At 38.3% G+C, this 13,629-nt stretch overlaps 1 protein-coding gene and 1 long non-coding RNA gene across 6 annotated transcripts in view, besides 1 other annotated feature; one reads left to right on the plus strand and one right to left on the minus strand.

The window, feature by feature from the left end:
• Positions 1-13,629, minus strand: part of PIWIL4-AS1 (PIWIL4 antisense RNA 1) — a 195,024-nt gene that overhangs the window by 153,750 nt on the left and 27,645 nt on the right. The gene's annotated exons all lie outside the window — the stretch shown is intronic.
• Positions 6,903-8,102: an enhancer, noted in NCBI's record as "MED14-independent group 3 enhancer chr11:94439150-94440349 (GRCh37/hg19 assembly coordinates)". NCBI's record gives its function as "activates an origin of replication core promoter dependent on BRD2, BRD4, P300/CBP and CDK7 cofactors, and independent of MED14, by STARR-seq in HCT116 cells {active_cell/tissue: HCT116}" and the evidence as "EXISTENCE:reporter gene assay evidence [ECO:0000049][PMID:35650434]".
• Positions 7,379-13,629, plus strand: part of AMOTL1 (angiomotin like 1) — a 170,289-nt gene continuing 164,038 nt past the window's right edge. For all 3 annotated transcript variants that reach the window (XM_005273798.5, XM_011542626.3, XM_006718772.4), the window contains exon 1: positions 7,379-7,516. The gene's annotated coding sequence lies outside the window, so the exon portion shown is untranslated. The remainder of the gene's footprint in view (positions 7,517-13,629) is intronic.

The raw sequence follows: 13,629 nt of genomic DNA on the forward strand, positions 1-13,629 counted from the left end.
AAATTTTTAAAAAACACACCAACTCAATTATATGCTGTCTGCAAGAAATCCATTTTGAACATAAAACCACCAATTGTTTGAAAACAAATGGATGAAAAAATAATATTGCATGTATAGTAAGTATAAGAAAGCTGATTGGCTTAGCCAAGCATGGTGGTGGGCGCCTGTGATCCCAGCTACTCAGGAGGCTGAGGCAGGAGAATTGCTTGAACCTGGGAGGTGGAGGTTGCAGTGAGCTAAGATTGCACCACTGCACACTCCAGCCTGGGCAACAGAGGAGACTCCACCTCAAAAAAAAAAAAAAAAAAAAAAACACTGATTGGCAATATTAATATCAGACAAAGTAGACTTTAAAATAGAGTGTATTAACAAAAATAGAGGGACATTTCATAATGATAAAAAGGTCAATACATCAGGAAGAAATAACAAAAATAAATGTGTATGTATCCAAAAACAGAGGTTCAAAATAAATGAATCAAAACTTCACAGAATTAAAAGGAAAAATAGAAAATGCCACAATCACAGTTGGAGAATTTAACATCCTACTCTCAGCAACTGATAGAACAATCGAACAAAAGTGCTGTGATGACACAGATCTGAGCAACACTATTATTGTGGGTTAAATTACGTCGTCCTAAGAAGATATATTGAAGTCTTAACCCTCCAGTCCTTCAGGGTGTGACATTATTTGAAGTGGCTTTACAGAGGTAACAAAGTTAAAATGAGGTATTAGAGTGGGACCATAATTAATTCTTATAAAAAGAGGAAATTTGGACACAGGCACAGCCTGTGGGAAGGAAGATGATGTGGAAGGGAAGATACTGTGAAGACACACTGGGAGAAAGCCATGTGAAGATGAAGTCAGAGATTGGAGTGATGAAGCTGCAAGCTAAAGAATGCCAAGGATTGCCAGCCATAACCAGAAGCTAAGAAGGGTAAGGAAGGACTTTACCCAAAATCTCAGAGGGGCATGGCTATGTTGATACCTGATTTTGTTGCCAGAAAAGGGATTCCAGAATCCAAGAAAGGGTTCTTGGATCTCAGGAAGGAAGGAATTCAGGGCAAGTTGCAGAGTGCAGTGAAAAGAGGTGGTTTATTGAAAGCTACTCAGTTACTGAGTAGGGTGTCCTCAGAAAGCAAGCAGAGGAATGCACCATCTTACCATCTTCATTTTAAGTTTTTCTTTAACTTTTTAAAAAGTTATATAGGGGTTTTCTCTATGTAAAGACTAAACTAAGTGATGCCTACATGTAGGTGGGCTGACAGCATGACAAAATTTATTATTCTGTTGATTTAAAGAAAACTATCCTTGAAATTTTAGTGTGTTAAGTACACCAAAGCATAACTATAATTATCTGTAAGCATATATTTTTATGGGTATTGGGACATCTGGACCTTTTGTTGTTGTAGGAGTTTGTCCTTGCAGGCATTACCAAGCTGCTTCCTTAGCTGTAAACATCTTGGGACCATGGGTCATGACTGACAAGGAATGTGTCTTGCTAGTTTTAAGACGGAGTTTATTTTAAAATGGCATTACTTTGGCTCTCCCAGGCTCCTGCTTCCCTAACAATTTCAGACTTCTAGCATGTAGAATAGTGAGACAATAAATTTCTGTTGATTAAGTCACTCAGTTTGTGGCAATTATATGGCAGCCCTAGATAGCTAATACAAGTATAAATCACTTTGATTTAATTGATATTTATAGAATATGGCACCCAACAAGTGCAGGATACATATTCTTTTAAGTACACATGATATGTTCATCAAGATAGATCATGATCTGGGCCATAAACTTAAAAGAACTGACGTCATACAGAGTATGTCCTCTGGCCACATGGAATTAAATTAGAGATGAGTAAGACATTAAGAAAAATCCTAAGTTAAACAACATACTTCTAAATAATCCATGGATTAAAAATAAATCACAAGGAAAGCTAGGAAATATTTTGAACTGAAAGATAATAAAATACATTTCAAAATTGTGGAATGCAGCTAAAGCAGTGCTTGGGGGAAATTTTAGCTTTAAATCAAATAATATGTTAGAAAAGAAGAACGTCTAAAGCCAAGGACCCAAGACTTTACCTTAAGAATCTAGAAAAAGAAAAGCAAAATAAACCCAAAGTCAGTACAAGAAGAAAAGCAGAAAAAAATTAACACAGCTGGATGGTATATCTTGGAAAAGTTAACAAAGTTGACAAATCCTTAGGTAGATTGATCAAGAAATAAGCAGAGAGAACACAAGTTACCAACATCATAAATGAGAGGGGGGTTTAACATTCAGAAATGTATGCTATTAACGCTAAAGAATAATGAAGGAAAATCACATAGTCACTTCAGTAAATGCAGAAAAACATTTAATAAATTCAATGCCTATTTATAATTAAAACACAGGATATTTGAAATAGAAGGTAACCTCCTTATTTTGATAAAGAGCACTTACAAAAGGCCTTCAGCTAACATCATACTTAATTGCAAAATATTGAACACTGTTTCCCTAAAGTTGGGAGCAAGTCAAGAACGCCCAATCTCACCACTTTGTTTAACAATGGACAGGAGGACTTAAGCATATTTAAAAAATTAAAACCTGCTGGGCGCGGTGGCTCACGCCTGTAATCCCAGTGCTTTGGGGGGCCGATGTGGGCGGGTCATGAAGTCAAGAGATTGAGACCACCCTGGCCAACATGGTGAAACCCTGTCTCTACTAACAGTACAAAAATTAGCTGGACATGGTGGCGTGTGCCTGTAGTCCCAGCTACTCGGGAGGCTGAGGCAGGAGAACCACTTGAAACCGAAAGGCAAAAGTTGCGGTGAGCTGAGATTGCGCCACTGCACTCCAGCCTGGTGACAGAGCGAGACTCTGTCTCAAAAAAAAAAAAAAAAAAAAAAATTCCAAAACGCATACAGAATGGAATTCAGAATTCAGAATGGAAAAAGTAAATGTAAAACTATCTCTATGTTAGATGACATGAGTATTCTTACAGAAATTCCTATTGTATTTACATAGCAACTACTTACCTATTAAGTGAATTTAGCAAAGTCATAGGATATCAGATTAATATACAAAGGTCAATTGCATTTTTATGTATTAGCAGCAAAGAATTGGACAGTTAAATTTAAAAAATAATTTTATATTAGTGTCAAAAGCAAAATATCTGGGAATAAATTTAGCGAAAGACATGCAAAACCTCTATACTAAAACAACAAAATATTGCTGAATAAAATTGAAGATATAAATCAATGGGGAGATAATCATGTTAATGGATTGAAAAACTCAGTTTTCTTAAGATGGCTATAATTACCAAATTGATCTAAAGATTCAATAAAATGATAATCATAATTCTACTATTCCTTTTGGTCAAAATTGACAAGATGATTCTAATTCTAAGAACCTAGAATATTCAAAGAAGTCTTGAAAAAAGAAATTTAAGTTGGATGATGTATTAATCTGTTCTCACGCCACTATAAATAACTACCTGAGACTGGGTAATTTATAAAGAAAAGTGGTTTAATTGAGTCACAGTTCCACAGGCTGTACAGAAGCATGGCTGTGAGGCCTCAGGAAACTTACTTACAATCATGGCAGAAGGTGAAGGGGAAGCAGGCACATCTTACCATGGTGGAGCAGGAAAGAGAGAAAAGGGGAGGAGCCACACACTTTCAAGCAATCAGATCTTGTGAGAACTAACTCACTATCATGAGAACAGCAAGGGGAAGATAAGAGGGAAATCTGCCCCCTTGAGCCAATCACCTTCCACCAGGACCCTCCTCCAATTTGATATGAGATCACATGACTCACATTGTTGGACGTCAAGACTTACCCTAAAGCTATAGTAATCAAGAGAGTCTGCAACTGGTATAAGGATCAACAAACAGACTGATGGAAAGAATAAGGAACCCAGAAATAAAAATAGACACATGCTTATACATTTATTTTATTTTCAACAAAGGTGCCAAAGTGACCTAATTGGGAAAGGAAGTCTTTTCAACAAATGGTGTTGAAATAACTACATTTTATATGGAAACAAATTAACCTTGCTTTAACTTATGCCGTCCACAAAAATTAATTTGTGATGGACCATAGACCTAAATATAAAAGCTAAAATTTAAAAAACTTCCAGAAGAAAATGTAGGAAAATATCTGTATGACTTTGAGTGAGGTAAAAACTAAAAAAGCAAAAATATTATGTTAGATAATAAAAATTTAAAGAAATGAAAAGAAGCACAGAAACATCATTAAGAAAATGTATAGACAAACCACAGGACAGAAGAAAATATTTGCAAAACTTACCTTAAAAAGTATTGGTATCTGGCTGGGCATGGTGGCTCATGCTTATAATCCCCACACTTTGGGAGGCCAAGGTAGCTGGATTGCTTGAGCTCAGGAACTCAAGATTAACCTGGGCAATATAGCAAAACCCTGCCTCTACTAAAAATACAAAAACTAGCTGGGTGTGGTTGCATGCACCAGTAGTCCTAGCTACTCAGGAGGCTGAGGTGAGAGGATCACTTGAGCCTGGGAGGTCAAGGCTGCAGTAAGCCATGATCAAGCCACTTCACTCCTACTTGGGCAACAGAGTGAGACCCTATCTCAAAAAAATAAAAAAGTATTGGTGTCCATGATATGCTAAGAACATCTAAAACAATAATAAAACAATTTAAAAATTTTTTAAATGGTCAAAAATTTTGGACACTTCACAAAAGGTAATAAGTGAATGGTCAATAAACACATGAAAAACATGAAATATCTTTAGTCATCAAGGAAATGCAAATTAGAACCACAATGAGATACCATTCCACATCTACCAGTGTGGCTAAAATTAAAGGCTGACAACACGAAATTTTGGTGAGGACATGAAGCAATTAAAGCTTTCATACATTGGTGGTGGGAGAGGAAAATTACATAAGAATGTTGGAAAAGATCTTGCAATTTTGTATAAAATTGCATATAGCTACCCTAAGAACCAACAATTTCACTCTTACGTATTTACTCAAAGGATCTGAAAACAAATGTTCACAGGGACATGTGCAAAAATGTTCACATTAGCTTCATTCCTAATAGCCCTAAGCTGGAAGCCCAGGTATCCATTACTAGAATACTGGCATATTCATAGAGTAAAATACTATTCAGCAATGAAAAGAAACCAACTTCTGATACAAGCAACAACATGGATGAATGAACCCCCAAAACATGCTGAGTGCACACAAATTTGCATAAAAGAATACAATTTGTATGGTTCCATTAATATAAAATACTAAAACAGGCAAAACTAATCTGGTGAAAATCATCAGAAGATTGGTTATCTCTTGGGATGTGAGATAGGGGTTTGCTAGGAAGGGACATAAAGAAACTTTCCAGAGTGATGGTTATGTTCTGTATCTTGGTAGGAGTTTGGATTGCACAGGTGTATGTGTCTAGAGGAACTTGGAAATGATACACTTAAGATCTGTGCATTGCACTGTATACAGATTTTATCTGAATAGAAACAAAGAAATTGTAAATAAATATTGAACTCTGGCTAATAATATTGAAGTATTTGGGGGGAATATACTAATGTCTGAAACTTATTTTGAAAGACAATAACAAAAATAATTAAATGAGTTGCTGGATGGATAGAGAAATGAGCAGAGAATCAACATGGGATAAAACTAACGTGGCAAAATGTTAATTGAAGAAACCCGGTGGTAAGTATATAGGTGTTCACTGTACAATTATTCTGACTTTTCTCTAAGTTTGAAAATTTTAATAGGCTTTTGAGAACAAAAAAAAATTGAAGACAATTGGCAGATTACCCATTGGGTTGAGTCCTGGCCTTAGGAAAAGACATGAGAGTCTAGCTCATAGGCAAAGGAGGCTCCTGGGGAGGAAAGGAGGCTCCTGAGTCCAGCAATTGGCCTTCTTTGCTCCATTCTAACTTTGGCAATGAACCTAGAGGCTGAGACAAAGCAAATAACCAAGTTCTTTTTCGTTCTACAAGACCCACTGGCTCATGCTCTCTCCAAATGCCTCACCAACAAGATGGTGACTTTAAGCATTCTCAGCAGATCTATTCTAGAGACCTGGAATGGAAAAGGACTGACACCATTCACTCTCCTTCTGCTGAGCACCTACTGTATGGTACTCTCTTTGCTAGGTTTCAAGGACATTATGATGAACCAAATAAAAATGACTCCTGCCTTCATTGTTCTTACCATTGATGAAACGCTGCCCGTCTTCTACTCCTATCATTATTCACACCCCAAACAAAAGATTTGCAAGTTCCCTTTGTAAGCCACTTTGACATGTCTTAAATCTGTGATTTCGAAAATCTCTAATGTTGGATCTGAATACCTCTATCTAAATAAAAAGTGCATTTTTTCTTGTTTTAGCCTCTTTGGAGTGAAACTTGACACAGGAAAATCTCAAAGCCTCAAAATAGCTGAGCAAGAAATTAGATAGAAGCCTAATGACCCAGAGTCACCTTATACTCTCCTGAAATAGAAGCCTGGGAGAAAGGGCAGCTGGCTGCTGAGCTCAACCCTCTGCCCCACTTCCAACAGAGATCACACTCATTACCATTCCTTTCCCTAGCACCCCAGCCAGAACTCTTGTCCAAAGTTTAGACCAAGGACTTGGCATCAAGAGTAGGTGATTGGCCCACTGGGTAGCTTGAAATGACCTTGAATCCCATGTTACAAATCTAATTCCTCCAGCCTCACCTTTAACATACAGAAGAAAAAAAATCCTGTCTCTTTCTCCAAATCCTTCTGTTTAGAACGCAGGCATGTTTTGAACTGATATGTTAATATTACAAATGACCCCATATTGAATGAGTGGCATTATGTTCAACAAAAAGAAAATAAAAATTGGTTGCATTTTTGAGAAAGGCTGTCACACTTTTTCCTGTAGCAACTAACCTCCTTTTCTTAACTGAATATTTTTCCCTTTGCAAAGTCCAGTCACCTGTTTGTCACCTTTGCTTACAGATTCATAGCTCTGAAAATTTCTTAGCAATTTGGTCATTTCCAGCTTCTTACAGCCCCTCCTCCTGGCTGAAATACCTTCGCTTCTTCTTCCTCCCTGCTTCCACTTCCCCAGTAATTTTCACCTCTCAGAAAGTCTAAATATCTATTTTCCTTCCCTAGAGTACTGTTTTTCAGAGTTGGATTTGGGGGAGATAATGACATGACTCAAGGAAATAAGTGCATAATTTTTCTTTCTCTGGTGCCAGTTAAGGCAATTGGTGCCTTAGGATTTTCTGAAGCTCTTTGAAAACAACAGGGTTAGTCAGATTCCAGCGATTTACCTTCTGAAGGCTGAGCATGTCTGGGCAATGGCTGCATAATTTGGATGGAGTCATCACTGATGAAGCAGAGTTGGCTCAGCCAGGCAGCACTCGTTGCTCTTTTTAAACTCCACGGCACCAGGGATGAAGTCACCTTTCTTCTTTTAAAACGAACACATTTGCTCTGTGAGTCCCTGTCACTTCTGTTAGAACTTAGTATTTTTTCCACTGCCGGTCACCAGGACTTCTCACAGGTAAGAAAATTCTTATTTAGTGGGTTTCACTCTAGGGAACCTTAACACGAGGGGGGGATTTTGGAAGGCATCTATGGGCAGAGTTGGAATTAGATCAAGAAATACTCCATTGGGTGGGGAGGGTGGCTGTTTCCATGGCAGCCGGTCCCCACCTGGTGGGGTGGCAGACCATGGCTAGGCGAAGTCAGCTTTGAGCTGCAGTGGTGGGCTCTCACAGTGGGTGTAGGAATCTAATCGGGGCTTGGTATTAGGTGCCTATTCTAAGAGCTGTATAATGAGCATGTTAGTGAAGCAACTGTAAGTGGACTCCTTTGGGCTAGGGCCATCCATACCTCCTTTGCCTTCCTACTGATTGGGTAGACTCTTAGAGAGCTGATTCTTATAAAATATGTGCAGAAAAGCAGCTCTCTGGAGAGCCTTGATTTGCTGTTTCGCTGGTGTGAATGCTTCCCTTCTTTCTCAGGAGTGTAGCAGGAAAAAAAGGGGCCCAGGATGCCTGTTCTGACATGCAGGTACCTTGTTCAAACAATGGCTGTGCTGCCGCATGCAGGGCAGAAGTGTACAAACATATCTTAGTGCCTGACCCTATGAGTTCTTCCAAGAAAATATACATGAGGTCTCTCTCTCTCTCTCTCTCTCTCTCTCTCTCTCTCTGTGTGTGTGTGTGTGTGTGTGTGTGTGTGTGTGAAGGCAGACCCTGTGCTCCTAGAGACCACTGAAATCTCCCTGCAACACTTCCTATGAGTTATATGAGTCTCTGTCACTGATTGAATCATACAACTCTTATCAGCTTTGGAAGGCTCAATAAAGACATCTTGTTTATGACAGAGGTGCCTACAGGATGATAAACGGCTTTTGGAAAGAAAGTTGAACCACTGTCAAATGAAAATGTTGAGAATTGCAGAGCCCTTTATTTCTTGGCACAGAACCCTGCCACATATAGTATTTGGCACAATCATCTATAACCTATACAGGGAGCAAAGACTCATTTAGATAAGAGATGTTTGCTTTGTTTTAAATGCAATTGCATACTGGCTGCCAGTGCCTGGTTATACATTCACCTCAGACTAGACCATATCCAGAATTCATCCTCACCTGAAATCTGCTCCCCCTTCTGTGTCCCCTAGGTCTGTGAAAAGTTCCTGGTGGTAGATTTCTGGATTTCACCCTAAACACCCCTCCAAACTTCCTCACATTTTCACATCTGATTTGGGAACACATTCAGCAGATTCGAACTCCATATTATTTCTCAAATCCATCCATTTCTCCCCACCTCCACAGATATTACCCTAGTTTAAAGCCGTTATCAATTTTTTCTAGGAATACAGAAACCTCACATCTGGGCCTCCTCTCTCCAGTCTTACCTCCCAGCAGCATCCAGAATGATGGTTCTAAAATAATTGATCAGCACCTGCACAATCCAATCAATCACTAGTCTGTTGAGTCAGTCTTCTTAATATCTCTCCAAATGGTTTACATCTCTCTACCCCACCACTACTACCTTGGTCTAACCCATCAACACGCTTTGCCTGAGTTATTGCATTATCCCCTTAGCTCGTCCCCCCTGCTACCAGGCTCACTCCACTCCTAGTATAAGACGCTCTAAGCTTCTTGTTTTACTAAGCTTTCTAAGGACATTTTTACCAGAGAAGAACTTGAAATGCTTATTACTCTATTTGGAGTTTAGAAGCATTAGCATTTTTATGACTCTTGTAGGTGCTTTAAGGAGAGAGGCCAGAATGCGAGAGGATAGGGAATGTAGAAAGCAGTGGGAAGGCAGCCTGAAGAATGCGTAAGCCTCAGACCTTGGAACCATGTGGGTCTTCATTTGAATCCCAGCTTCTCCACCTCCCGGTATGGCTTGGACCAAATGTCTAAACCTTCTTGAGGCTCATTTCCCTCAACTGTGAAATGGAAACAATACCTGCTTCATTAGGTAAATAGAAGAGTTAAATGAGAACATTTATGGAAGGCTCTAAAACATAGCAATTAAAAAATTTTAGTACCGCTCCTTCTTTCCTTCACTTTTAAGGGTTATAATCTCTAACCACCACCTATGTTGTAAGTATTCATGTGTATGTGTTTAAAACTATCTGTAGTTGGCATGGTAGGAAGGAGGAGTGGCAAAGAAATACATGCGAACTCTCTTAAGAAACTTGCAGTTTACTTAAGGAAATAAAGCCAACCTAAACAGCACATCTATAAACGTCTATAAAGCAAGCAATCTGTGATTGTAATGTGTGTAGTACTACCAATTGAGTACAGGAAACCAGTACAGTTAACCAGGAAAGGCCTGAGTAAACAGGTCTGCAAATACCTGCGGACAGAGTGTAAATAGATCTATATCAAGCAGTTTTAGAGTTAGGCTACTCAGAGATTTAAAAATCGTTGGTTGAAGTAAAAGTTTCTAAAAGGACTTGTGCATTTAGAGTGGCTTAAGGATGTGCAGATCAGTGTTTAAAATGACTACACACTCATTCATTAATCAAGCATTTATTGAGTGCCTACTCTGTGCCAGCTCCTAGACTGTACAAATTCTTTGCTACTCTTCCCACAGGAGTTTAATGCTAATTCTCCACCTCTTAAATATAGGCTAGCCTTAGAGACTTGGTTGACCAATAGAAAGAGAAGAAGGCAACATTCTGGGACAACCATTGCTAGGTTCTATGAAGGTTTACATCTTCCTTCTGGGTTTCTTGTCTCAGTTACTTTGGCAGAAGCCAACTACCATGTAGAGTCATGTGCTAGTAAACTGGCTCTCTGGAGAAAAAAAAAAGTTCCTTAATTTGCAGTGTTTGCCAATTTTCATGGTGTAAATACTCCCACCATGGCTTCCAAAATGATAGCACTGAACACAGGTTTGGGAGGAGATATGCAGAATCAGCTCTTATAAGCCAATACAAGCTGGCCCAAGCCCATGACTGCCAATTACTCTGAGACCAGCATACTGTGAGAAAGTCCAAGTTGGCCACATGGAGAGGCTACAAGGATTGAATCCCAACCAGTCCTCAGATTTTCCAGCCATTCAAACTTAGCCTTCAGACATGTAAGGAAAGAAACTTTTAAATAACTCCAGCCCCCACCACTATCTGACTGCAACTATATGAGAGACCCTGAATAAGAACCACTCAGCTCAGCCCACTCAGCCCATAGAACATTGAGAGATAATAACAATGTATATTAACTAAGTTTGGGGGTGGTTTTTATGTAGCATTAGATAATGGGAACAAGGTAGTAACCTTGTTTACTCTGAAGCCGGCTGAGATCAAGCCCCTGAGATGGTGTCAGAAATAGAAGAATCCAACCAGGTAGTTCTTTGTCCTTGCATATTTCCTGGCCTTATACCACTAACTCAAATGTTTTAGTTAAAAAGACTCGAGAAAGAGACTCATTTACTAACTCGTTTTACCGTTATAATAAAATCAGGGAAAAAACATTTCTCACACTCACACATACACTCTTCTCTCATCATCTGCCTCCATACCTACCCACCCAACTCTCCTCATACAAGGCTCTGCTGAAGATCTGCCTTGCCTGCTATATTGGCTGTGCCCAATCCTCCACATGGAATTTGTTAGGGGAAGGAGGTAGAGCAGAGACAATATGAAGTCAGGGAACTGCCCAGAGGTGCCACCTGAGGCCTGGTGGAAAGCACCTGAAGCCATGAGAAAAGAGTAGCAAAGAGGAGGGTTTTAAACAGGCTTTGGTGAAGACACATAGACTATTGGTTAAAAGTATGAATTTTGAAGTCAGATGACCCGGGTTCCTATCAGGACTCTGACATTTTCTAGTTGCTGACCTTGGGAAAGTATCTAGACATGTCTTCTCAGTTTCTTCTTCTTTAAAATCTGGATAGTAATGCCATCTCACAAGGTTCGTGTGGCGATTATATTTGTAGATGATATTTGTGGAGTGCTTAGCACAGTGCCTAATACATCTGTGTTACGTAAATGAATAACAGCTAACAGTGGCAGTAGTGACAGCGTTGGAGCAGTACTAATGATACTTTGTTGCAAGTCCCAAAGCCACAGGCTCCCTGGCAAACCCAGAGCTTCAGTTGGTCATCACTCTACAGGTGCTCAAGATAAGTGTTCAATAAATACTTATATCACACTGAATATTTACATTCTGAATATCTCTTCTACTGCCATTTTTTGTCCCTCTTTTTGCTCCTAAATGCATTTCCAAAGGCTTAAAAACAACCTCTGCATCCCATCCTCTGTATCTAAAATAATATGAATTGGGACCATGTTTTCTCATTTCTTGTGAGTCCTGTTCTTACCTTCCACTCTGTAGCAGGTAGTTGAATAGTTCAGTGCTCAATATATTATAACTATTTATTACTATTTTTAAAGTTGTGTTTAAGGAGAAACTGAAGTTAGATGACTTCTACGGGGATCCAAAGCCCAAGGTACTCCAAACATTTTAGGTTTACCAGTATACAGATAGATGCTACCACTTTGGTAGGTCAGGGTGAAGGATAAAATCACTCTTGAGAGCCAAATGTGAATATTAAGTTTTCTTGAGTTATTCAGACCTTGTGAATACAAAATTTTAATCTGTGTAATTTTAATATATGAATTGATGTTTGACAGATCCATCTCATTAAATTTATGGTTGATCTAGTTGTGGATTTTGTAAACAAAGAATCATGCAAACACTCTGGCTGTTAAAGAATAGCTGGCTTGTATATTTTTAAAAAACATTATGAAATATTTATAGATTCATGAGTCTATGAGTGCCCCCCTTCACCCAGCCTTCGCCACTGTTAACATTTACATACCTATAGTACAATATCAAAACCAGGTAATTGACATTGGTACGATCCACAGACCTTATCAGATTTTATCAGCTATGCATGTACTCATTGTGTGTGTGTGTGTTTGTGTGTGTGATTGTATACAGTTTTTGTCACATTAGCTTCATGTAACTATTGCCACAATCAAAATATCACTAACCATATCATCACTGCAAGGCTTCTTTATACTTCCCTTTTAAAGCCATGGTCCCATCCCTAACCCTTTGAGACTACTAATCTGTTGTCCATTTATATAATTTTATTTCAAGAATGTTATATAGTCATGCATTATGTAACCTTATGATATTGGCCTCTTCCATTCAGCATAATAATCTTGAGATCTATCCAGGTTGTTATGCGTATCAATAGTTGGTTCCTTTTTGTTACTGTGTTGTATTGAATAGTATGGATGTACTACAGTTTGCTTAAGCATTCACTCATTTATTCATTGGAGGACATTTGGGTAGTTTCTAATATTTGGCTGTTACAAATAAAGATGCTATGAACATTCATGTACAAGTTTTTTGCATGAACATAAATTTTCATTTATTTGGGATAAATGCCTGAAAATGTGATATCTGGGTTTTATGCTAAGTTTTTAGTTTAAAAGAAACTTCAAACTATTAATGTTTATATAGAACGGCCATAATATTTTATGTTACCACCAGCAATATATGAGTAATAGAGTTTCTGCATCCTTACCAGAATTTGGTGTTATTACTATTTTTTATTTTAGTCATTCTGATAGATGGATAGTGATATCTCATTGTGGTTTTAATTTGTGTTTGCGTAATGGGCAATGATGCTGACCATCTTTTCATGTTATCATCTGTATTTCCTCTTCAGTAAAATGTCTATTTATGCCTTTTGCCCCAATAAATGGGATAGCTGGCTAGCTATATGCAGAAGAATGAAACTGGACCCCTGCCTTTTACCATATACAAACATTCACTCAAGATGAATTAAAGATTTAAATGTAAGACCTCAAACTATAAAAATCCTACAAGAAAACCTAGAAAATCAGTCTTGGTAAAGAATTTTTAGCTAAGTCTCCAAAAGCAATTGTAACAAAAAGAAAAATTGACAAGTTGGACCTAATTAAACTAAAGAGCTTCTGTGCAACAAAAGAAACTAGCAACATAGTAGACAGACAACCTATAGAATGGGAGAAAATAGTTTCAAATTATGCATCTGACAAAGGTCTAATATCCAGAATCTCTAAAGAACTTAAACAAACCAAAACACAAATAACCCCACTATATTCTAATTGGATTGTTTTGTTGTTGTTGTTGTTTTTCACTGTTGAGTGTTGTGA

Source organism: Homo sapiens, chromosome 11, assembly GCF_000001405.40.
Source record: "Homo sapiens chromosome 11, GRCh38.p14 Primary Assembly".
Taxonomy (NCBI): Eukaryota; Metazoa; Chordata; class Mammalia; order Primates; family Hominidae; genus Homo; species Homo sapiens.